Source organism: Homo sapiens, chromosome 15 (genome assembly GCF_000001405.40).
Source record: "Homo sapiens chromosome 15, GRCh38.p14 Primary Assembly".
NCBI lineage: Eukaryota > Metazoa > Chordata > Mammalia > Primates > Hominidae > Homo > Homo sapiens.
Window position 1 is genome coordinate 88585571 of NC_000015.10, and position 25101 is coordinate 88610671.

Below are 25101 nucleotides of genomic sequence, written 5' to 3' on the forward strand. Positions count from 1 at the left end.
GTTTATAGCAGCTTTATTCATAATTGACAAAACTTGGAAGCAACCAAGATGTCCTTCAGTAGGTGAAAGGATAAATAAACTGTGGTAGATCCAGACAAGGGAATATTATTTTGTACCAAATAATCAGGTGCTAAGAGGTGAGATATCAAGCTATGAAAAGACACAGAGAAACTTTAAATGTGTTTTACTAAGTGAAAGAAGCCAATCTGGAAAGGCTGTAGCCTTTGTATGTAGCCTATTGTAAGATTCCAACTGTATGACATTCTAGAAAAAGCAAAAATAGGAAGACAGCAAAAAGATCAGTGGTTGCCAGGAGTTAGGAAGGGAGGGGGGATGAATAGGTGGAGTACAGATTTTTAAGGCCAAGAAACTACTCTGTAGGGTACTATGATGGTGGATATATGCCACTATACATTTGTCCAAATCCATAAAATGTATAACATCGAGAGTGAACCCTAATGCAAACTGTGGACTTTGGGTGATAATGATGTGTCCATGTAGGTTCATCAATGTAACAAATGTATCACTCTGGTGTACGATGTTGACAATGGGGGAAGGCTGTGCATGTGTTGGAGTAGGGAGTGTAATGGAAACTCTACTTTCTGCTCAAGTTTGCTGTGAACCTAAAACTGTTCTAAGAAAAAAATAAAGTCTATTTAAAAGGAAAAAAACAAATTTACTGTACATCTACTGCTAATTCTGAATTGTTGAATGGGGGTACTGTCAGGATAGTCACAGCAGGAGTCATCATCTCATCTTCTAAAAAAGAGGAAGCAGAAGGGACAGATCCAACTGTGTGTCCCTGTGTGCATATTTGACATAAATTGCAAACCTCCATTTCACCCCTTGGCCTCCTGCAGTCAAAAACTCATGAGGGTCACTCAGCCCCAGAGCCTGGAGCAACAAGACATTTTTTACAGAGAGGAAATGTTATTTTAGAATGAAATCCTAGCCAAGGCTGCTGGGGGCTGTAAAAACAAACCCATAAAACCAAGGGTCCTTGGAGCACTTAACAAGATTTCCACCTGATGATAGGAAAACAATTTTATTGAGACTTCCCCCAGGAAATTGGTTTCTCCCAGTCAAGTTGAAAGGCTGAGATCATCTTAGTAATGACAGTGAGGACTAGAAGCAGTCCATCTTCTTTTGACAGTGCTGCATCTCCTGTGCATATTAACTAACTCATCAATTACCTTACCCAGGGTAGGAGAAGCTGAGCCGCTCACAGGCGAGCCTCACAGGGCAGGTCTTCTTGTCCCAGGAATGTCAAGAGCTCGTCTTTATCTTCTCTCAAATGATTTGCTTCAGTGACTAACTGATGACTCCTACAAGCTGTTTTCAGTTGCTGCCTCTGGCATTTTCCTCTGAAAGGCTAGTCTGATGGATAGTATGGTAGACTGCCAAAACAGTGATTTATGTTCACGGTGAAACCAGGACCTTCTTGCTCCCCCTTCCTGGGCAAGTGGCCTTTATCTACATGGTTTAGAACACCCTGGGGAAATATGAAGAGGAAATTGAGTACCTTTTCTTTATCTATAACCTAATTCAAAATTAGTGTGAGCTGTAGTTGTAAATCTCAGAATGATCTGTTCTTAGCTCATTATTTCTTTTTTTTTGCCATTTCATTTTACATGATAACAAAAGTATCATGCATTAAGAAGAATTTATAGTTTGCAAAGTGCTCTCTTGTGTATGAGTATATTTGATTCTCACCAAAACCCTATCAGATAGAAAAAGAAGGGTCACCATTCCCCTTTGAGTAAGGAGAACCTACGCGACAGAGGTTAAAGGACTCCCCAGTATCAAACATCAATTTCTACTGTCAAACAAAACAAAGATTGTATTTACTTTTTAGAATAAATTATTAAATATTTCAAAGATATATAAAATACAGAAAATATGAAAAGAGAGCCACATGTCTACTTCTCAGTTTTAACAACTATTAATGTATTTGCTTCAGATGCTTTTTAGCAAGAGATAAAACAATACAAATACAGTTGTCAGTCCAGGCGCAGTAGTTCACATCTGTAATCCCAGCCCTTTGGAGGCTGAGGTGGGCGGATCACTTGAAGTCAGGAATTCGAGACCAGCCTGGCCAACATGAGGAAACCCTGTCTCTACTAAAAATACAAAAATTAGCCGGGTGTTGTGGTGCATGCCTGTAATCCCAGCTACTCAGGAGGCTGAAGCAGGAGAATCGCTTGAATCCAGGAGGCAGAGATTGCAGTGACCTGAGATCGTGCCACTGCACTCCAGCCTGGGTGACAGAGTGAGACTCCATCTCAAAATAAATAAATAAATATAAAAAAATAAAACAATACAAATACAGTTGTCACCATCCCATTTCTTCCCTTCCCTGCCAGAGGTGATTACTTTCCTGAAGTTGATACATATCCTTCAATCCATGTTATTAAACATTTATTTCAGGCTGGGTGAAGTGGCTCACGTCTATAATCCTACGACTTTGGGAGGCTGAGGGAGGAGGATTGCTTGAGCCCCGCAGTTCCAGACCAGCCTGGGTAACATAGCAAGACCTTGTCTCTACAAAAAAATAAAAAAATTGAGGTGGAGGATCGCTTGATTCTAGGAGGTTGAGGCTGCAATGAGCCATTATCGAGTCACTGCACTCCCTCCTGGATGACAGAGAGACTCTGCCTCAAAACAACAACCACAACAACAAAAAGCCAAACAAAAATAACAACAAATTTACTTCATCTGTATTTACCTATAACAATCTGTATTAGTATCATGCTTTACTTTGTTTTACTTTTGTGTATTCACATGATAGTTTGTGAATCTTTTTATAACTTTTTTTTTCTCACCGAACATAAGTTTCTAGATGTCCAACTGGATACATGTAGAGCTGCAAGTTAATTGATCAATATATTTTTTCACTGAATTATAGTATTTTATTACATAAATAGACCACAGTTTATTTATCCATTTTCTTATCAATGGATATTTAAGCTGTTTCTACATCTTACTATTTCCAAGTAGTGCTGCAGTGAACATTCTTGTTCATGGCAAATTATTCGTGGTGACAATGTCTAAAAACTTCTTTAGGGTATGTACCTAGAAAAAGAGTTGTTGGGTCGGTTGAAGGGTATGCACACCTTGAAATTTATTAGATATTACCAAATTATTCTCCAAAGTGATGGTAGCAATTTATACTTCCAATAGGGATGTCTAAGAATTCCTGTTTCCTCACGTTTTTACTAACAACTGGTGAAAATTCAACACTTGGTGAATTATTAGTCCTGTTAATTTTCCCAACTTGATGGGTGTGATTGGTTGTTATAATTGTTATAATTTGCATTGCTCAGAATGGCCATAATTAAAAAATAAAAAAACAGAAGATGTTGGTGTGGATGTACTGATCAGGGAATACTTCTACACTGCTGGTGGGAATGTAAATTAGTACAGTCACTATGGAAACCGTGTGGAGATTCCTTAAAGAACTAAAAGTAGAACTACCATTTGATCCAGCAATCCCACTGCTGGGTATCTACCCAGAGGAAAAGAAGTCATTATACAAAAAAGATACTTGCACACGCATGTTTATAGCAGCACAATTCACAATTGCATAATCATGGAACCAACCCAAATGCCCATCAATCAACAAATGGATAAAGAAACTGTGAGATTTATATATATATATATATATATATATATATATATATATATAAATGGAATACTACTCAGCCATAAAAAGGAATGAATTAACAGCATTTGCAGTGACCTGGATGAGATTGGAAACTATTATTCTAAGTGAAGTCACTCAGGAATGGAAAACCAAACATCGTATATTCTCACTGATATGTGAGAGCTTAGCTATGAGGATGCAAAGGCATAAGGATACAATGGACTATGGGGACTTGTGGGGGAAGGGTGGGAGGGGGCAAGGGATAAAAGACTACAAATAGGGGGCCAGGTGTGGTGGCTCACGCTTGTAATCCCAACACTTTGGGAGGCCAAGGCAGGAGGATCACCTGAGGATGGGAGTTCAAGACCAGCCTGACCAACATGGAGAAACCCCATCCCTACTAAAAATACAAAATTAGCCAGGTGTGTTAGAATATGCCTGTAATCCCAGCTACTCAGGAGGCTGAGGCAGGAGAATCGCTTGAACCCGGGAGGCAGATGTTGCGGTGAGCCGAGAAGGCGCCGTTGCACTCCAGCCTGGGCAACGAGCAAAACTCTGTCTCAAAAAAAAAAAAAAAATAGGGTGCAGTGTATACTGATTGGGTGATGGGTGCACCAAAATCTCACAAATCACCACTAAAGAACTTACTCATGTAACCAAACACCACCTATACTCCAATAACCTATGAAAAAAAGGTTAAAAATAATAATAATTTGCATTGTCCTCATGATTAGTCAAATTGCGCTTCAATCACTAGTTTATTGGCCGCTTGAGTGTCCTTTTCTGTGGATTTCTTGGTCACAACCTTTCAATTTTCAATATTTTTTGTCTTTTTCTTATTAATTTATATAAGTGCTTTAAGTATTCTAGATATTAATTCTTCATTGATCGTATGCTTGTAAATATCTTTTCCATCCTAAACTTGATTTTACTTAATTTATGTCTTTTGCCTCTGCTTAAATTTTTAAGTTTAATGTTAATTAAATTTATCTTTTTATTTGTACTTTTTGTGTCGTGTTTAAGAAATAATTCATTGTCCTGAGGTCATAAAAATATTCTCCTATATATTTTCCTGTTCTAAAAGTTTTTTACATTTTGTCTTTACTCCAAAATGTGAATTTATTTTTGAGTATGGTATGAGGTTAGAAACTTACTTTATTTTCCATGTAAATGTTTCAATTGCCAAACGTCCATAGACCAGTTTTCCACCAGACATGGGTCTGTTTCTGGGCTTTTCATTGTACTGTGTTAGTCTATTTTACTATCTCTATGGCTATTCTACACAGTATTAATTGCTATAGTTTTATGATAAACCTTGTTATTTGGTAGGGAGATCTCTCTACTTCCTTCTCATGATTCTCTTGGCTATTCTTAGCTCTTTGTCCTCATATAATGTTTAAAATCAATTTGTCAAGTTCACATACACAATAAAAGCCCTGGCTTTCTATTAGAATTGCAATAAATTTATAAATTCATTTAGGACAATTAACATTGTAATGTAATTGCCATCATCCACAAATATGCAATTCCTCTCCATTTATGTAGATCTTCTTTTACGGCCTTCAATAAAATTTTAGAATCTCCTCAATCAGTAGCAAATCATTGTTAGATTTATTCCTAGTTACCTAAGAGTTCTTTTCTTTTCTTTTTTTCTTTTTTTTTTTTTTTTTTTGACAGAGCCTCACTCTGTCGCCCAGGCTGGAGTGCAGCTGTGCCACCTCAACCTCCCAAGTAACTGGAACCAAAGGCATTCATCACCATGCCCAGCTAATTTTTTTGTTTGTTTGTTCGTGGTTTTTTTCTTTTTTTTTTTTTCCATGGAAACGGGGTCCCACCATGTTGCCCAGGCTAATCATAAACTCCTGAGCTCAAGCAATCTTCCTGCCTCGGCCTCCCAAACAGCTGGGATTATAGGCATGAGCCACTACCCTCGGCCTTTTTCTTGATATTTTAAGTTAATTTATTAAGTTATCTTTTTAATTAGGTGTTGCTCAGGAACGCTATTGATTTTTTCAAATTGAGAAATAATTCACATAGTATAAAATTCACCCTTTTAAATTATACAATTTAGTGGTTTTTAATATATTCACAAGGTTGGCCAACCACCACTGCTAATTCTAGTACATTTTTATCATCCCGAAAAGAAATCCTGTAACCCGGAGCTGTCACTGCCCATGTGCTCTTCATCCTGGTCCCTGAAAACCACTTGTCTTCTTCCTATAGATTTGACTATTCTGATAAATAATTTCACATAAATGAAACCATACAGTATGTGGCCTTTTGCATCTGGCTTCTTTCTCTTAGTATAATACTTTCAGGTTTCATCCATGTTGCAGCATGTATCAGAACTTCATTCCTTTTCATGGCTGAGTAATATTTCATTATCAGGATAAATATTTGCTTGTCCATGTATTAGCTGAGGGACATTTGAATTGTTTCCACTTTGGGCTATTATAAATAATGTTGCTATGAACATTTGTGTACAAATTTTTGTATAATATATATTTTCAGTTATCTTGGGTGTGTACCTAAGGTGGAATAGTTGGGTCATATGGCAACTCTAGTTAACATTTCCAAAGTGGCTACACCATTTTACATTCTCACCAGTAATAACTGAGGGTTCCAGTTTCTCCACAACTTCACCCACACTTGTTATTGTCCTTTTTAAAAAACTATAGCCATTCCAGTGGGTTTATCTCACTGTGGATTTGATTTGCATTCCCTAATTAATAGTGATGTTGACCATCTTTTCATGTACTTGTTGGCCATTTGTGTATCTTATTTGGAGAACTGTATATTCAAATCCTTTGCCCATTTTAATTGGATTGTCTTTGTGTTATTGAGTTGTAAGAGTTCTTTTTTAGTCCTGGATCCTAGGCCCTCATCAGATATATGATTTTCAAATATTTTTTCCCATTCTGTAAGTTATCTATTCATTTTTCTTGGTAGTGTCCTCAAAACACGAAAGTTTTTAATTTTTATTAATTCCAATATTTTCTTCGGTTGCTTGAGCTTTGAAAGTTATGTTTAAGAAACCATTGCATAACCCAAGTTTACAAGGACTTACACCTATGTTTTATTCTAAGAGTTCTGTGATTTTAGCTCTTATATTTAGGTCTTTGATCCATTTTGAGTAAATTTGTGTATATGTGTGAACTACGGGTCCAAGTTTATTCTTTTGCATATGAATGTCCAGTTGTCCAGCACTATTTGTTGAAGAGACTCGTCTTCTCCCACCAGATTGAATTGGTATCCTTGTTGAAAATCAATTAACTATAGATGTATGAGTTTATCTCAGGGCCCTCAATTTTATTCTATTGATCTATATGTTTACCCTCCTGCCAGTACCACACAGTCTTGATTACTCTAGTTTTGCGTTAAGTTTTGAAATTATGAAGTTTGAGTCCTTCAACTTTATTTTTCATTTTAGATAGTGTTTTGGCTACTCTGGGTCTCTTGCATTTCTATATGAATTTTAGGACCAGCATGTCAATTTGTGCAACAACAAAACAAGAAGCAGCAGGAATTTTGATATTGTGTTGGGATTTAGGATTGTATCCACTCTACATGTCAATCTAGGGAGTATTGTCATCTTAACAATAAGTTTGCCAATACATGAACATGGGATATGTTTCCATTTATTTAGATCTTTTGCTGAGACACTAACGACATCTAAAAGGAAGAAAGAATTTATTTCAGCAATGCTTTGTAGTTTTCAATGTACAAGTCTTGCATGCGCTGCTTTCATTAAATTTGTTCCTAAGTATTTTATTCTTTTGATGCTATTACAAATGGAATTGTTTTCTTGATTTCACTTTCAGATTATCCATTGCTAGTGTATAGAACTAGAACTGATTTGTATATTTTGTATGTCCTGCAAACATGCTGAATTTATTAGCTCTAATAGTTTCTTTTGTGGATTCCTTAGTATTTTCTATATACAAAACCATGTCATCTGCAAACAGAAATTTTACTTTTTCCTTTCAAATCCTTTTCTTTCTTTTCCTTGACTAACAACCCTGGACAGAACCTCCACTACAATATTGAATAGAAGTGATGAGAATGTACATTCTCTTCTTGTTCCTGATCTAAGGGGAAACTTTTCCTTTCACCATTGGAAATATGTTGTTAGTTATGGATTTTTTATAGATGCCTTATATCAGGTTTAGGAAGTGCCTTTCTATTCCTACATTGTTGAGGGTTTTTTATTTTTCTTTTTCTTTTCTTTCTTTTTTCTCGAGACAAAGTCTGACTCTGTCACCCAGGCTGGAGTGCAGTGGTGTAAGCATGGTTCATTGCAGCCTGGACCTCCTGGGCTCAAAAAATCCTCCTGCCTCAGCTTCCAGAGTTGCTGGAACTACAGGCATGTGCCACCACACATGGCTAATTTTTTAAATTTTTTACAGAGGCAGGATCTCGTCATGTTGCCCAGGCTGGTCTTTAACTCCTGGGCTCAAGCAATACTCCCACCTCACCCTCCCAAAGTGCTAGGATTACAGGTGTGAGTCACCACTTCCTGCCTATTGAGTGTTTTTATCATGAAAAGGTGTTAGATTTTGTCAAAAGCTGTTTCTTGTCTGGATTGAGTTGATTGTCTGGATTTTGTCATTTATTCTATTAATATGAAGTGTTATTTTGATTGATTTCCAGATTTTAAAACAACCTTTCATTCCTGGGATAAATCGCTTTTGATCATGATGTATAATCCTTTTGATATATTTATGGATTTAGTTTTCTAATGTTTCAGTAAGGACTTTTTCATTTATATTCATAAAGGCTGTTGGTCTGTAGTATTCTCCTCTTGTGATATCTTTGTCTGGTTTTGATATCAGGGTAATACTCAACTCAGAGAAAGAGTTTGGAAATGTTTCCTACTGTTTTATTTTTTGGAAGAGTTCATGAAAGATTGGTGTTAATTCTTTTTGAAATGTTTGGTACAATGCAACAGCGAAAACATCTGGCCTTGTGCGTTTCTTTGTGGGAAGTTTTTTGATTACTGATTCAATCTCTTTACTTGTTATGATCTGTTCAGATTTTCTATTTCTTCTTGAGTCAGTTTCAGTAATTTTTGTGTTTCTAGGAATCTGCCAATTGTATGTAAGTTATCTGTCAGTGTTCGATTATTCATATTCATATTCTCCTATAATGTTATTTACTTTGTAAGATTGGTAGTAATGTTTCCTCTTTCACTCCTGATTCTTAAGTCATTTGAATCTTCTGTTTTTTTCTTCATCAATCTAACTAGAAGGCTTAATTTCAGTGTCATTGATTTTCTCAATTGTGCTATTGATTTTTGAACACTGATACTGTCAAAAAACTTATTACCTTATAGCATTTATCTGTAGGTTTTCTTACATTTTCTAGTAAAAGCACATTATCTGAAATGACAACTTGGTATCTTCATAGTCACATCCAGTAGCATGTTGATTACAGTTACATTCCTGACTTCAAAGAGAATGTTTCTCATATTCCAATGTTAAGTGTGATACTAACTGTGAATAGATATCTTTTATTAAGGAGAGGCAATTTCCTTTCATTCCAGATTGGCCAAAGGTTTTATCTTAAATCAATATTGAATCTTAGCAAATGCTTTCTAGATTTATTTAGTGCTTTTATTTTTTCTTTTAATCTATTAAAGTCAAGCTAATTTACATGAATAGATTTCTTTTTTCTCTTTTTCTTTTTCTTTTTTTGAGATGGAGTTTCGCTCTTGTTGACCAGGCTGGAGTGCAATGGCATGATCTCAGCTCACCGCAACCTCCCCCTCCCGGGTTCAAGCAATTCTCCTGCCTCAGCCTCCGAGTAACTGGGATTACAGGTGCCTGCCACCATGCCTGGCTAGTTTTTGGTTTTTAGTAGAGATGGGGTTTCTCCATGTTGGTCAGGCTGGTCTCGAACTCCTGACCTCAGGTGATCCACCTGCCTCGACCTCCCAAAGCTGGGATTACAGGCGTGAGCCACCATGCCCGGCCGAATAGATTTCTAAATGTTAAAAAGTCTTAGAATCCTGGCCGGGCGCGGTGGCTCACCCCTATAATCCCAGCACTTTTGGAGGCTGAGGCAGGTGGATCACGAGGTCAGGAGATGGAGACCATCCTGGCTAACGCGGTGAAACCCCGTTTCTACTAAAAATACAAAAAAATTAGCCGGGCGTGGTGGCTGGCGCCTGTAGTCCCAGCTACTCTGGAGGCTGAGGCAGGAGAATGGCGTGAACCCAGGAGGCGGAGCTTACAGTGAGCCGAGATCGCGCCACTGCAGTCCAGCCTGGGCGACAGAGCAAGACTCCATCCCCAAAAAAAAAAAAAAAAATTCTTAGAATCCTAGGATAAGGCTTATTTGCTTATCATGTGAATTTAGCTTACTAAAAACTTATTTAGGATGATTTACATTTATATTTATAAATAGATTGGCCTATACATTTCTCTCCAGTATTTGTTGTGGTTTGTTGTTACCGTTTCTTTTTTCTTCTTCGTTTTCTTTTTTCTTTTCTTTTTTTTTTTTTTTTTTTGCATTGTAACATAAAGATAATCTGTTCCTCAAAGTTATGGTAGAATTTGTGTATAAAACAATCTGAAACGACGATTTGTGTATTTTAGGACAGAGGGTGCTACATTTTTATTAAGATTTACCAATTTAATTGTTATAGGTCTATTAAGCTTGTCTATATCTGCCAGGTGCAGTGGCTCACGCTTATAATTCCAACACTTTGGGAAGTCGAGGCGGGCAGATTGCTTGAGCCCAGCAGTTCAAGACAAGCCTTGACAACATGGGGAAACTCCATCTCTACTAAACATTAGCCTGGTGTGGTGGCCTGCACCTGCAGTCCCAGCTACTCGGAAGGCTAAGGTGGAAAGATTGCTTGAACCCGGGAGGCAGAGGTTGCAGTCAGCTGAGATAGTGCAACTCTTTCTTTCTTTCTCCCTTCCCTTCCTTTCCCTTCCTTTCCCTTCCCTTTCCTTCCGTTCCCTCCCCTCCCCTCTCCTCCCCTCCCCTCCTTTCCCCTCCCCCCTCCCTCCCCTCCTCTTCCCTTCCCTCCTTCCCTCCCTCCTCCCTTCCTTCCTTCTTTCAGAGATTGGGTGGGGCGGGGGGGGTGGTTCTCACTATGTTCCCCAGGCTGGTCTTGAACTCCTGGCCTCAAGCAGTCCTCCCTTCTAGGCCTCCCAAAGTGCTGGGATTACAGGTGTGAGCCACTGTGCCTCTGGCCTTTGTTGGCTCTTTGTTTTCTATTTTGTTAATCTTTATTGCTAACATTATTATATCTTCTTTTCTACTTTCTTGGAGTTTATGTTGTCTTTTTAGAAATTAACTGAATGATTAGCTTTGTCCTTACTTAAAGTCTTTCTTTTCTAATATATACATTTAACACTACAAATTTATCTCAAAGTACTATTTTTGCTGTATTCTGCAAGTTTGGGTAAATAGTGTTTTCATTGTTTTTTAGTTTGAACTATTTTTACATTTCCATTTTCAATTTTGTTTTATTCTTAAGTATTTAGAAAGGTGGGGTTTTATTTTGTTTGTTAGTTTTTCCTTAGTCATTTCTTTGTTTTATTTGTGGTTTGTATTTTAGCTTTCAAATATATGGGTTCCTTTGGTTATTTTTTTAATTTAATTTTTATTTTTTTTGTTTCCCACACAACACTGATGTACCTTTGGTTATATTTTCAGTCTTGAGTTCTGCTTTTAATATTGATTTCTGATTTTATCTAAATGATATTGATTCTTCGGTATTTTTTGAGATTTTCTTTATGAGGTAGTATTTAACAATTTTTATAAATATTCCACATGTGCCTGAAAAGGATATGCATTCTTTATTTGTTGAGTGCAGATGCACACACATACACACACAGATAGAGGGATGGGGAATCAATTTACTGATTGTATAGTTAAAATTGTCTGTATTCATACAGATACTCAAAATATCTTAATGCTTCATCCGTCAGTTTCTGATACAGGTGTACTAAAATATCTCAATATAATTAATTGTAGGTAGTTTTGGTTTATTTCTCTATACAAACCTGCCTTTTTTTCTTTTTCTTTCTTTCTGTCTTTCTTTTTTTTTCTTTTTTTTTTTTTTTTGGTAGAGATGGGGTCTCACTATGTTGCCCAGGCTGGTTTTGAACTCCTGGTCTCAAGCAATCCTCCCACCTAAACCTTCCAAAGTGTAGGAATTACAGGTACAAGGCATTGCACCCAGCCTTGTTTTTTATATTTTGATGCTGTGTTGTTCAATGTATTCAGGCTCAGAATTGTTATACCTTCCTGGCCAATTACTCTCTTTATCATTAATATCATTATAACATGTTCCTATTTAATGCTTTTCACTTTAAATTCTACATTAACTATTATACAAGGTTGGTTTGGGGTAGTATTGTCTAGAATATTTTTTCTTAACTCTTGACGTTCAAGGTCTGTGTCCATTTGATTATGTATATCTTTCACAATTGGGGTATAGCTGAATTTTTAAATGTCCAAAAATCTCTGTCTTTTGACTGAAACATAGTACATTTAAATTTATTATGATTAGTAATATTAAAATTATTTCTGCCATTGCATTTGTTTTCTATTTACCTTGGGCTTTTTCTTCTTCTTTTCTTTTTCCTTTCCAAACTTCTACTTGATTAATCTCATTTTCTTCATTCTTTTTCTCTACTAATTTGGAAGTTAAACTTATAATTTTTATCATTTTAGCTGTTTTCTTAGCATATTAACATGTACACCTGATTAAGCACAATATAGTTAATATTTGTAAAACATACTGGAATAAAACAAACAAAATTTAGAACTGAAGCTCTACAAGCTATTTTTAATGTGGTCTATACAATATTGGTTCACCAAAATGTATTGATATTTATTGTCTCATTTTTGACTCCACCTTCCAAATTAGACATCAGTATTATTGTATTTTATAGTCGGTGCTCTTGGGATTTATCAACATATTTTCCCATTTCTATTCTCACTGTTGCTCCTTTTATCTCATTATTTCCTTTCGAGTTCAATTTCATTGCTATCAAAGCCCATCCTTTTGTGTCTTACAATGAAAAAGAGTGTTGAACTTCCTATAGTTTTAGGTCATTTAAAATAGTCTATATTTCAAATTCACTCTGAATAGTAGTTCAATTAGGTACGGAGTTCTGTGTTGACATTTCACAGCAGCATTTTGAAGATGTCATCTTGATCTTAATTTTAGCTAGTGAAAACCAGTAACAATTCATCTATTGTTTCTTATTAGGAAATATTAAATGAGATAGTCGATATCTCATAAGACTGGAATCATACAGCATTTGTCTTTTTGTGACTGGCTTATTTCAGTTAGCATAATGTCCACAATGTTCATTCTTATTTTTACCTGTGTCAGAATTTCCTTCCTTTATAAGGCTGAGTAATATTCCATTATATATGCATACCACATTTTGCTTATTCATTCAGCCATCAGTAGACACTTGAGCTGCTGCCCTCTTTTTTCTTTCTCTCTTTCTTTCCTTCCTTTCTTTCTTTCTTCCTTCCTTTCTTTCTTCCCTTCTTTCTATTTATTTATTTATTTATATATTTTATTTATTTATATTTTGTCAGGGTCTCACTCTGTTGCCCAGGCTGGAGCACAGTGACATCATCTTGGCTCACTGCAACCTCTGCCTCCTAGATTCAAGTGATCCTCCCACCTCAGCCTCCTAAGTAGCTGGGACTACAGGCACATCCCACCACACCCAGCTAATTTTTATATTTTTTTGGTAGAGGCAGGGTTCCTCCATGTTGCCCAGGCTGGTCTCAAACTCCTGGGCTCAAGCAATCTGCCTGCCTGGGCCTCCCAAAGTGCTGAGATTAGAGGTGTGAGCTGTCGTACCTGGCCTCCATCTTTTGGCTATTGTGAATGGTGGTATATAAACCTGGGTCTACAAACATAGAATCACCTCCTTTCTAACTTTAAAGGCCGGGCGCGGTGGCTCACGCCTGTAATACCAGCACTGTGGGAGGCCGAGGCAGGTGGATCACAAGGGCAGGAGATCAAGACCATCCTGGCTAACATGGTGAAACCCCGTCTCTACTAAAAATACAAAAAAAAATTAGCCGGGCATGGTGGCGGGCGCCTGTAGTCCCAGCTATTCGGGAGGCTGAGGCAGGAGAATGGCATGAACCCGGGAGGCGGAGCTGGCAGTGAGCCGAGATCGTGCCACTGCACTCCAGCCTGGAGGACAGAGCGAGACTCTGTCTCAAAAAAAAAAAAAAAAGAATAGCTCTGTGTCACTTATAGAATTGCCCGGGTTACTTTGGCCATTAAAAGTATCACAGTAACCAAGATATTTATAATTCTCTATTATTGGATTTTAATTTCCTAGAGGTAAGCAGAGTCAAAATTCTAAAAGAACTTCTTTCTGAACTGGTGTCACTATATATTCACTATTGCCAAAATTATGTTTTCTTTTTCAAGAACAGCCTTCTCTGGTCTTCAGATATGACAAAATCCATCAGGTACTTGGTTGGTCCTTGAAATTAAATTTTAAAACTCTCTTGGTAATCTGGCAAAGGTTTAGAAATATTTGCTACACAATTGGGATGAAAGATGAGAGATCCAAGGTTTCTTAGAATGCCCGACGTGTGTGGGAGGTGAGTGTGATGACTTCATTCACTACACTGTTCTCTAATTCCACATTTGAGGTGTGTGGTTGTTGGCACAAGACAGGTGCCTCCTTAGCCATCCATAGCAAGCAAGTCTTTTAGCACCTGTAATCCAGTCTCCTTTCCAGAAAAGCTTCATTCTAAAATGTCAACCCATCTAGAAACTCAGTAATGTCTCCAAGATGCCTGACCCTCACAGAATCTTTTGACCTCTGGTCCATGGTTTGTCAATTCCAAGAAATGAATGCATGAGAATATTGAGGAAACTGGCAGTGTCAAGGTTTATCTTTATTTGGCTAATGGCGATGACAGTAAGGTCGGCTGAGCTGCCAATCTGTCCTCCAATTAAGTTCTAATCTGAAGAAGAATTGTTGTCCATGATTAAACTCCCACTGTCCTATGAAAAGGGAGTGTCTAGAAGTCAAATTCAAGATGGATCCACCACTTATCAGCTGTGTGGCTTCTGGCACGGCACCTAAAGAATAAACAAACCTGGAGAAAATAACACCTATCTCACAGAGCTGTGATAATTAAATTTAAGGGGGGTTTTTTGGTAGTAGTTGCTATAAAGTTATGTAAAACATTGTGTTGGAGAGCATTGAAAAATGTGAAGTACTATTAAAAATGTAAAAGAAATATTATTATTGTTTTGATTATTATTTGAGGTGTGGAAGGAAGTGGCCAGAAAGTAGATACCAGGAACAGAAGCAAGCTTATTGAGGAGGAGGACAAGGGCAGCTGGGCTGATGATGTATCTGAGTTGAGTAAAAACCAAATGCCTCTTATCAGCTCTTTACAGATAAGGTCAAACTCTCTCATGGTCACCTAATACCCCAGGCAAGATCTGCAGCAACCTGCACAGGTCTGAGACCCAGGCTCCACACCTGCTCTGATTATGCCCATCTGGAACAGTGCCAGATAAGGAATAGATGCCTAATAAATACCATCTACTCCCATATTTGTATCATACTATATTTTAATTATAGAAACTACCTAATCATGTTTCAGAAAATTTGGAAAACATGATAAAAAGAAAACATTTAAAAGCCACCTGTGATCTCTTTAACAGAAACTTTATCATACTTTGATGTACTTCTGTTCTATTTTTTCTATATATGTGCTTTCTAAAGACCTTACTTTAATGATATCTGTAAAGACAGTTCTATGTTCTGCTAATTTCCTTCCTTAACATTATGAGTATTTTCTTGGCTCATGTTTCAGCAAAAACATTAATTTTAGAGTTGGTAGAATATTCTATCCATTCAACAGATGATGTGCCAGTCTCCTATTGTTGGATATTATGTTGCTTCCATTTTAAAAAATATTAAACAATGTGACAATGGACACCTTTATGTATCTAACATTTTCTGTATTGAATATTATTTTATTTATTTGAGACAGAGTTTCCCTCTTGTTGCCCAGGCTGGAGTACAATGGTGCCATCTTGGCTCACTGCAACCTCTGCCTCTCGGGTTCAAGTGATTCTCCTGCCTCAGCCTCCCAAGTAGCTGGGATTACAGGCATGTGCCACCACGCCCTGCTAATTTTGTATTTTTAGTAGAGACGGGGTTTCTCCATGTTGGTCAGGCTGGTCTTGAACTCCCGACCTCAGGTGATCCATCTGTCTCGGCCTTCCAAAGTGCTGTGATTACAGGCGTGAGCCACTGCAGCAGCCCAAGATTATTTTATTAAGATATCCCAAAGAAAAACTGGTCCAAAGGGTGTGAACGTATTTGTGTTTATGACTTTTTTTTTTTTTTTTTTTTTTTGTAGAGACAGGGTCCTGCTGTATTGCCCAGGCTGGTCACTATGACCCTTGATACAACTTGCAAAATTGCTTTCCAGTGAATTTAACCAACTTGCAACCTCCACAGGGTATGAGTACTTATTTCACCATACCCTCTCCAACACTGGGAAGTAGGTTTTTAAATTTTTTGTTAATTCAGTATGTGGAAAATGGTACTCCACATTTTATAATTTACATTTCTATTTTAAATAAAGCAGAAAAATTCCAATTGTTTGTTTAACTTTGTTAAATTTTCTGTTTAACTGTTCATTTATTTTTTGTTTTCGGGGTGCGTGTGTGTGTGTGTGTGTGTGTGTGTGTGTGTGTGTGTAAAAATAAGTTCTTTGTTGCCCAGGCTGGAGTGTAGTGGCACAATCATAGCTCACTACAGCCTTGAACTCCTTGGCCCAAGTGATCCTCCCACCTCAGCCTTCTGAGTAGCTGGGACTACAGGTGCATACCACCATACCCAGCTAACTCTCTTAACTATTTACTAAATAATTTTGATGACTCATATAAGGGAGACAGTGGGTCTTTCCAGCAGAAGGAGCACTGGGAACTCAAGGTGAATTAAACAGTCTGAGCTCTGCTTCTTTATCTATAAAATGGTCAGCTTCTAGAATCAAATGAGATACATCATGTAAAATACTCAGTGAAAAATTAGAAGTGCTTTATAAAGATAACGAATAGAGCATTAATAGTATTACTTACACTCCCTCTAGGGCCTAGAGCGCTAAGATTCACAAATGGAACGGTTGCAAGAAAAATGTCCTGTGTTAAGGAGCCAGTCAGGCCAAAGACCAAACAGATTTTCACCAAGAGATAAATGCAGAATCTTTTCTCTGCCCTAATTTTTCTGAACAGGCTAAAACAATCCATGTTGGCCAAGATTTGGAGTTGATCTAGTACAAAGTTACCCTGGCTTTCAACCAAAATTTTTCAGACACTTGGCTAAGAGAGCAAGTGCATATAAATAAGAACCTGTTTTTCCTTAGGGGGAAATCTACTGCTAATGGAAAAAGAAGATACCCCACTTCTGGCCGTGCGCAGTGGCTCATGCCTGTAATCCCAGCACTTTTGGGAGGCCGAAGCAGGCGGATCACAAAGTCAGGAGATCAAGACCATCCTGGGTAACACAGTGAAGCCCTATCTATACTAAAAATACAAAAAATTAGCCGGGCGTGGTGGCGGGCGCCTGTAGTCCCAGCTACTCTGGAGGCTGAGGCAGGAGAATCTCGTGAACCCGGGAGGCGGAGCTTGCAATGAGCCGAGATCGCACCACTGCACTCCAGCCTGGGCGACAGAGTGAGACTCCGTCTCAAAAAAAAAAAAAAAAAAAAGGATAACCCCGCCTTCCATATTTTTGCATGTACAGTATTCAAAATGCACATTTAATGAATGAACTCGTAAATGTGACTGTGTGACAGAGTATGCATAAGACTCAACTATATGTCCCTGTTGGTGGTGCTTTTTACTTGTATGTTGGTTGGCTCGTTGCATTCACAAGAATGTATTTTACAGCTGTATTCAGACTGCCAACCAGAAAATGCAAAACAGTGTTATGTTTACATAATAATGGGTGAGTCTGAGAGTAATTAAAATGTTTTCTTCTGTTATTTTTCCACATATTTATGAATAAGATATTATTCCTTACATTTAAAAATGTAAAGAAAGTTCCATGTGATCCAATATCTGAGTGATAAATGAAAAATATGATTTTTAAAATGTTTCTCAAATACCTGCATATTTTGAAATATGAAAATGAAAAATAAAAACTCACCAGTCTGACTAGGAGGAAATATCCTGCTGCCTGTGTTGGCTGGATGTGGGCAGCACAGATATTTGTGTGTCCGTCCAGGGTTGGGCCTGCAGGGAACCAACCGGAGACAAAAAACAATTTTACTTTCCTTTTTTTTTTTTTTTTTTTTGAGATGGGGGTCTCACTGTGTTGCCTAGGCTGGTCTTGAACTCCTGGGCTCAAATGATCTTCCCACCTCCACCTCTTAAAATGCCTGGATTACAGGCGTGAGACACTGCTCTTGGCCACACTTTCCTCTTTACTATAGGAAAACAACGTAAAAGGATAAGATTGATGATAAATGGGCTTGGTGATATTGACAAAAAGGGGAAGAGGGGCTACTTTTGCCTGGACCCCAGCCCTGTGTACACTGGTCAGGGCTTCTCCCTGCATGCAGAATGCCAGCCCCTATTCAAGAGACATGGAAAGGCCATGACATGGATATTGTTTTAGAGAGAGGGAGAGAGAGATGGAAAACCCAGATTTCTCTGTGAACTCTTCCAATCTTTTTGACAAGTACTTCAAATTTTTAAAATACTGTGGGAGCCTCACAAACATTTTTGTGTCCTGTCTGGTTCGTTGGTCACCAGTTTGCGCCCCCTAGATGCGCACTGGATCAGTAGTGGGTTTGTCATGTTCTGAAGCTCTCAAGGCTGCTTTGAAGCCTCAGTTTGTCGTGTGTGCAGGCGAGGACCCGGGCAGGTGGGTGAGTCCCGCTTGGGCGCTGCCTGGGTGTGCTCTGCTCCAGCATGCGTCGGTCGAGAGTGAGTGAGAATACGTCTGTGAGCGGTCAGGTGAACCGGGTCTGACCTGCCCAGGTAAGGTGGTGGAAGAATAGGAAATGGCCCTGTGAAAAAAAAATTTCTGCTAATTGGTCTCCAGACGCCTGCAGTCTCCCCCAGCCTCTTCTCTGGGACCAGGCAGCCACCCACCTGCTATGACCAGCCCGGGGAGGGGACGGGACTGGCTCTGGTGTCTCTTCTGGTCCGGGCACAACTGGATTCAGCACTAATGACGGACTCTACCCCAGCGGAGCGCTGGACCCTGGCAGGAGTCGCAGGCTGCCCGCTGCTGGCCCGCGGACCGGCACCCCCTCCCCCAAAGCTGTTGCCATGGCCACAGGGGACATTTGATGTGAAGCGCGGCTCCCCCCTCTCCACTCGCTTTCTCCGCTCGCCTTCAGGATGACGTCATGAACATCCGTGGCCCTGACAGGCCACCCGTGGGTTGGTCTCAGCTTTAAAGCAGCTGTTCTCCTCTGGCCCGGCAGCCGCGGCGACTGTGTTTGCACCCGGCGGACCATGCCAGGACTACGGACCCGGACAGGACTGATGGCCTCAGAGAGGCAAGTATTCAAGGGGCACTTCACAAACAGCTTCCTCAAACCCCACCCCCTCCCCCGCACTGCGCTGCTACTTGCACTGCGGCTCCTGGGGGGAAGCAAAGTACCGGCAGCTGGGTGGTGAGGGGCTTTCTTCCAGAAAGAAACGGAGAGCAAGTGGTCTTCCTCCCTAGCCGCGGCGACCCATGCCAGGTAAAAATCCCAGCCGAGGTCCCCGGTCCCGTCCCCTCCTCCAGGTCAAGGGCTCGGGACTGGAGAAGCAGCCAACTGGAGCTGATATTCGGGAAGCTAAGCCTGAGGCTGCTCTGGAGGGCCGGAGAAGCGAGCGGCCAGGCTTGGCACCCGCCAAATGTGCCTTGCCAAAATGAAGAGGAAGGAAGGCGACTCCGGAGCCCAGCAGGTGAGCGCTCCTACGGGATGCTGGGCAGGCTAGAGGTGTGGGGGCGTCTGGTTCCAGTACCTGCCCGGGGCGACGCGGAAACCCAGCTTGCAGTTTGTTTCGCTCGGTCCCGCGCCCAGTAGGAGAAAGACGGCCCCACAGCCTCGCGGGAGCCGGCTCTCGCAACCCAGCCGCCCCAAGCCCGCCGTCGCCCCTCCTCCCGCGCTTCTCGCCCCTGATTCTAGATGCAGCTGACTTGTTGCATGCAGAAGAGCAGCTGGGTTCGGCGTTCCAAGCCTCTCCTCTTTGCTTTGCCTGCCACCAGATCTGAGCGCCAGGCTGGCCAGCACCCAGAGAGCCCAGAGCCGCAGGAAAAAATGTGAAAAGTACCAGGAGACCACTGGGTAATCGCCCCAGTGCAAAGGGCCTTTCTTCCTACCCACCGCAATTGCAGCAAATAACTCCAGGGAGGGGAATCAGAGGCGCCGGGGATTGCGCCCTGGGAGAGCCCTATCTGCTGAAAGAGAGCGCCTAATGCCGTTACTTCCCAGTGTAGCCTTTCCACTCGGCAGACCAAGCGCCTCTCCTTCGAGTCGCTACCCGCTTGGAGTCGGCTCAGAATCAGGCTGCTAAAGGTCCCTGGAGCCCCTCCCCCAGCGAATCCGAGCCTGCAGCTTCAGCACCAGAGGCTGGACAGCGCCCCGGCCCTAGGGTGCCCATGGTCGGTGCCTGCGCACGGCTCGGCCTCCCAGCCCACGCCACTTGCGCTCGCGGCCCCTCAGACCCCACGCGGAGGAGGTCAGGAGGTGACACAGGTTCGCGGAAGAAAGCGGGACTCATCTTCCTCATTTCTCCAGGGATTTAGGTGTGGGATTCTAGGAGAGCATTCTCTCTCGCTCTGGCCACGACCAGTGGAAAAACTTGGCGCCAAATTTAGGCAGTGGTGCGGGGAGCAGAGGCACGATTGCAGGCGGTGAGCAAAGGGGCAAGCGGGACAGAGGATCTACTGTGAGCCCCAGGCTCTGGTGTTCCGTGAAAAATCGCCACATTTAAATCCTGCGCTCCCCCGTGCTCCCTCTCGCTCTCTCCCCCTTCCTTTTTCCCTTCCTTCCTTCCTCCCCGCGCTCTCTGTATGCCTTAATAGGAGTGAGTGAAAGGGAAAGAGTGGGGTGGAGGGAGAAGATATTGAAGCCGAGGTAAGAAGCACATTTTATCTAGGTCTCAAAACTCAAGCGTGGATGAAATCTGTTCAAAAAGAACATCAAGGTACGCGTTTTTTTACCCAAAGGAGCCCAAAGTGACCTTTGTATGAGGAGCAAAGATTATTGTTTGGCCAAGAAGGGGAAAGATAGCGGAGGGAGAGGCGCTATCACAAAAGGGCTAACGGAGGTGGAGAAGGAAGGGAAAGGACTTGGCACTAGCATGCTTACCAGGCAACCAGTCGCAGCACCTGCCTCCTGTTGCCTTGGTTACGGTGGGTGGCGGGGCTTTGGCCACTGATAATCAGTGAGCACCTTGACTATTTAAAATATCTCCTGGGGAGCCCCTGCCTTGTCTGGGCTAGGTGAGAGGCACATCGATCCCGCGTAAGGCCCCGTCTGGGGAAATCCTGGAAGATGTTTGTTTTTTGTTTGTTTGTTTTTATTTTAAGTAAAGGCGCATAGCAGAGCAACTTACCTTTCCACCACTACAGTCATCCCCTCCCCCCTCCACCCCATGGCTTCATTTCTCCAGGATTTACAATTTGGGCTTTTATATTTTTCATTTAGTCCTTTATACTGAAGGAGCTGAGTTCCTATCCCCACCCTCTCTTTTTCCCCCTTAAAATGAGAAAAAAAAATTGCTTTTCCTGGATGTACAGGAGGGAGACAAGGAAATTGTCCAGGGGTGTCTACTGTAGAGAGAAACTTTCTCCCTGGTTTGATAGTCATCCCTGCCCCACTAAACCACTCCCCTCAGGGGAGAGAGGGCTGAATTCTGGATTACCCCCACTTCTCACCTTGCCCCATAGACCACATAGAAAGCACAGGTAGAGGGAAACGTGTCTCCCTTAGCAGATGGACACTAGCATCACTCTCATTTGATTCCTCAAGATTCTCTTCTCTTCTTCCTCCCCAGCATCGCCTTCATAATTAGCAAATACAGCACCTAAAGCTTCTAATCCTCTGAGTTTTTCTGTTTCCCTTGATTGACAAACATTGACTCCACTTTCACCTGTCAGCCTTGCCCTGCCTATGTCCATTAGAAACATCTGGGTAGGAAATTATTTTACTCATAATTTTCCAAAGGCAGCTGTAACATTCTCAGAATGATTTGAGAGGAAATCGCTAGCAAGTTACCAGAACAGCCTGTGCTCTGTGCACTGTTTCATCTCAAATAAGTCTAAGTGCCATGAACGTTCTCTTTCCCGAAAAACAGCAACAATAACAACAACAAAAAGAAGTTTGTTTTAAACTGAGATATTACTTGACAACACGGGGTTGGAGAACATTTCTGTTTCAGGCAGGAACTGTGATATCTTTATCTGTGATGCCCTGAACCATAAACACACAGGTCTTTTCTTTTCTCCTCTTGTTCTCTTCTTTTCTCTCCATTTCCTTCATTTATTATTAATATAAGAATTTTTATTCATTATAATTTCAGCATAAGTTTAAAAGGTCAAAAATTCGCTCGGTGAACTGACTTGATAGTTTTGCGGGTATTTACATTAAAATGCTTTTAAAATGCTTTTCTCTCCCATGTTACTATAGAAACTTCCCTTTAGACCAGACCAGACAGCTGGTCTGCTTTTTGTACTTTTCTTCCCAAAGAAGTGCTTTCCTTTATGAATTGTCCGGGGCAGCTATCATTGATCACATCAGTAATGTCCCATAGCAACAGTTGTGTGGTTTTTTTTAATTATTATTCACTTTCTGCTTATTTTCTTTATGGACAAAGGGTCTACTTTCAAGAAGATAACTGAGCTCTTATTGGCTGGAAAGGAAGAAGCATTCTTTCATTGGTTGGTGTGTATTGCCTTGTCAACCAATAAGAGGATGCCATTTATCCTTTTCTGACTAGCTGAGTGAGCAGGGTACACAGAAGGATTGAATCTGCCTTAGTTCCATCCAGTAGCAAAGGACAGAACTCAGAGTCCTGGACTCAGGATCTGGAATTGACTTTGGCTAATCCAGATTGCACTGACTTGCAAGGATGACATTTTTTACCTACCTATTCGCAGCTTACTTCAACATACCTGCCTTATACATTGTCCTATGGCTTTTTTCCCCCTTCATTTTAGGAGATACTGTGATCATCTTTCCAAGTCAGTGCAGGTTATTGTTACCAGCACACTGAGGGTCCAGAGAATTTTGTGATTTCCCCTAAAAATAGATAATTGGTCCTCATTATTAGAGATTTGGTGAAAACTTTTGGAGATGAAGATGGAAAGCTAGAAGTCGGAAGAACTGCATTGCTTGTGATGCAGAATGGATATCTCAGCTTGTGGATTCACTCTACTCAGCTCTCAGCTTTGGTGTTTTGTGTTTGGTGTTTGGTGTCCTCTTCACTTTGATTTTTATTTGTCTGTTTTTCCACTTTCATTCTTCAGAGCTGCGCTTTTGGCCTGAATTTTCAGTGACAAATAGAAAAGCTGAATGGATGGAGACAATGACTCTTTAATTCAATGTAAGAGCTGACTCATCGCTTCCCAGGAAGACTTGTTGCAGGTAGGTGATGGTTATCCTGGAACTGGAGATTATCCCAGTCCTTTGTTGCACTGGCAATGGGCAGGTCTGTTTATTTTTCTCTTTTTTCCTGCACCAAATAGTCCTACTCAGGGATGCTGGCATTGGTCCCCACTTCCCTAAAAGAGGGGAAGTCAAAGTTCTTTCCCTTTCAGGACAGAAACTCTCTGATAACAGCCCGGAAGAAGTCTTAATGTGAGTACAGACCACTTCAGTCAGTCTTTTTTTGGTTCTTGGCAGGAGGGGATACTGGGAATGGATAGATGCCTGATCATCACGGTGCTATCAAGAGCCATATTCTTTATTGGCCCCATCTGTGCCAGAGTTCAGCGGTACCATGAGCCCTAGTGCTAGACTATTAGCCCTTCAATATTAGGAGCTATGTCTTGTACCCCTTTGATTCCCTCAAACTCAGTTGTGCTTAAAGTAGGGCTGAACAAATGTTTGAACTAAATCCTACTGGCTAGTATTAAGACAAATAGCTTATCTTCTTCTTTATGAGAATGGTAGCTCTAGACCTGGACCCTCCCCCTCCAAATCAAAAGCTTCATATTCCCTAGCCCTCTTCACAAAAGATAAATTAAGGCTCAGTTAATTGTTACCATGGTAACATGGAGTGGCCACATTGAGGATCCCCATCATCCATTACTGTCATGAGGTAAAAGAGAGGAGGGGTTTGGGATCATTGTCATGGAGGAAACCATGGAAACAAGCGTTGCTAAGGGAACAGCTCTAAATTCAGAGGAAAGAAATTAGAAGTGGGGAGTGGAAGTTGGTGGGCTCAAGGGCAGGTCATTTTTTCAAAATATATTTCTTTGAGACTACAGCAGCCTCTTTTATTGCTTGCATCTTCTCCCAATTCAGATAGAGCCCAGAATTAAAGAATTTTGAAAACTAGGGCCACAATCAGTTCAAATTCATCTTCATTGGATCTGTAAGGAAAAAGCCAATGAAAATGGATTTACCCTGTTCACACCTCACAATCCTACTCTGTCTCTGAACTCTGCTTCTTTGCCAACCAGTTTCATTTATCACGGGCCAGGCTGTGCGCGAGGCACTTGGAAGAATAATGAGTGAGAGTCCCTGCTCTCATAGTGAGCTTCTAGCAGGGCAGTGGTTTGGGTGGTGGCTTTAGGGCCAGGGTTGCTCATGTAAGCTAGATCAGTCAGTCCTGCAAGCTGACATCCAGAGAGATGCTGTGGTTCTCTCCAAACTCTCTTTGTGGTGCATTTTAGCTTGTCTATTACTTCTCAAAGTTTATTTGCCAGGTCCCTAAGAAAGGCCTGTTTTTCCTAGAAATACCTAGGGTGCTAAGCTCTCCTATTAACCAAGGGGTTACCTTAGTTAGCATTGTTCTCTAATGGTACCCTCAGGTCCTTGTCTCTAAAACAATTCAAGGTTGAAGGACTAACCCTCCTCTCAACAGTGGCAAAGAGGCACGGGGCTATTTTTTTTTTTTTTTTGTAAAAGAAATTAAAGACCACACATCCATCTCTGTTTCTTGATAGATTAAAGGATGGGGAAAGGAGGTCTCAGTTTTCTACAGCTGGGAATTTCAGAGCCAGCACCTCACTGCGGGGTAGACTGAAGAGGGTCATAAAGAGCCTCTGGGGGAGGAACACCTCTCCCTTACATCTTCCACAAAAGAACTTCTTGGTTTTTCTCAGACCCATGGCAGAGATGTGCCCTGTCTCAGGCTGACAGCTGGAAGGGGCTGGGACTCAGAGCTAGGTATTGCCAGTCTTCTCCATGACTCCCCCCACTCCTCCTGCTCCTGAGCGTCTCCATCACCAGGCAAGCCCCCACCCCCA

General features: G+C 40.9%; 1 protein-coding gene, 1 long non-coding RNA gene and 1 other non-coding gene across 6 annotated transcripts in view, besides 2 other annotated features; 2 read left to right on the top strand and 1 right to left on the bottom strand.

Moving 5' to 3' along the window:
- On the bottom strand, nt 1–19540 carry LINC01586 (long intergenic non-protein coding RNA 1586). Of its 2 annotated transcripts, none has more exons than NR_120370.1 (3): nt 19294–19540; nt 17827–17912; nt 1–1492 (listed from the first exon to the last, which is right to left on the bottom strand). It is a non-coding gene; the product is annotated as a long intergenic non-protein coding RNA 1586 (long non-coding RNA). The 2 variants fall into 2 exon arrangements; NR_120369.1 differs by lacking the exon at nt 19294–19540 and adding an exon at nt 18777–19033.
- Nucleotides 18800–19506: an enhancer, noted in NCBI's record as "H3K4me1 hESC enhancer chr15:89147601-89148307 (GRCh37/hg19 assembly coordinates)". NCBI's record gives its function as "activates a minimal SCP1, AML or CMV promoter by ChIP-STARR-seq in primed H9 embryonic stem cells {active_cell/tissue: H9 hESC(primed)}" and the evidence as "EXISTENCE:reporter gene assay evidence [ECO:0000049][PMID:30033119]".
- AEN (apoptosis enhancing nuclease) overlaps nt 19113–25101 on the top strand; it is a 27599-nt gene continuing 21610 nt past the window's right edge. Inside the window, exons 1-3 of one of the 3 annotated variants that reach the window (XM_047432947.1) lie at nt 19113–19586; nt 19811–19969; nt 23155–23272. The gene's annotated coding sequence lies outside the window, so the exon portion shown is untranslated. Of the gene's footprint in view, nt 19587–19810; nt 23273–25101 lie in introns of all 3 variants that reach the window. The other 2 variants (XM_017022489.2, XM_047432946.1) reach the window with 2 other exon arrangements.
- Nucleotides 20220–20657: a silencer, noted in NCBI's record as "fragment chr15:89149021-89149458 (GRCh37/hg19 assembly coordinates)". NCBI's record gives its function as "represses an EF-1alpha promoter that drives an FKBP-Casp9 reporter gene in an ReSE screen in HepG2 liver carcinoma cells {active_cell/tissue: HepG2}" and the evidence as "EXISTENCE:reporter gene assay evidence [ECO:0000049][PMID:32094911]".
- On the top strand, nt 22537–22627 carry MIR1179 (microRNA 1179). Its single transcript, NR_031590.1, has one exon. It is a non-coding gene; the product is annotated as a microRNA 1179 (primary transcript).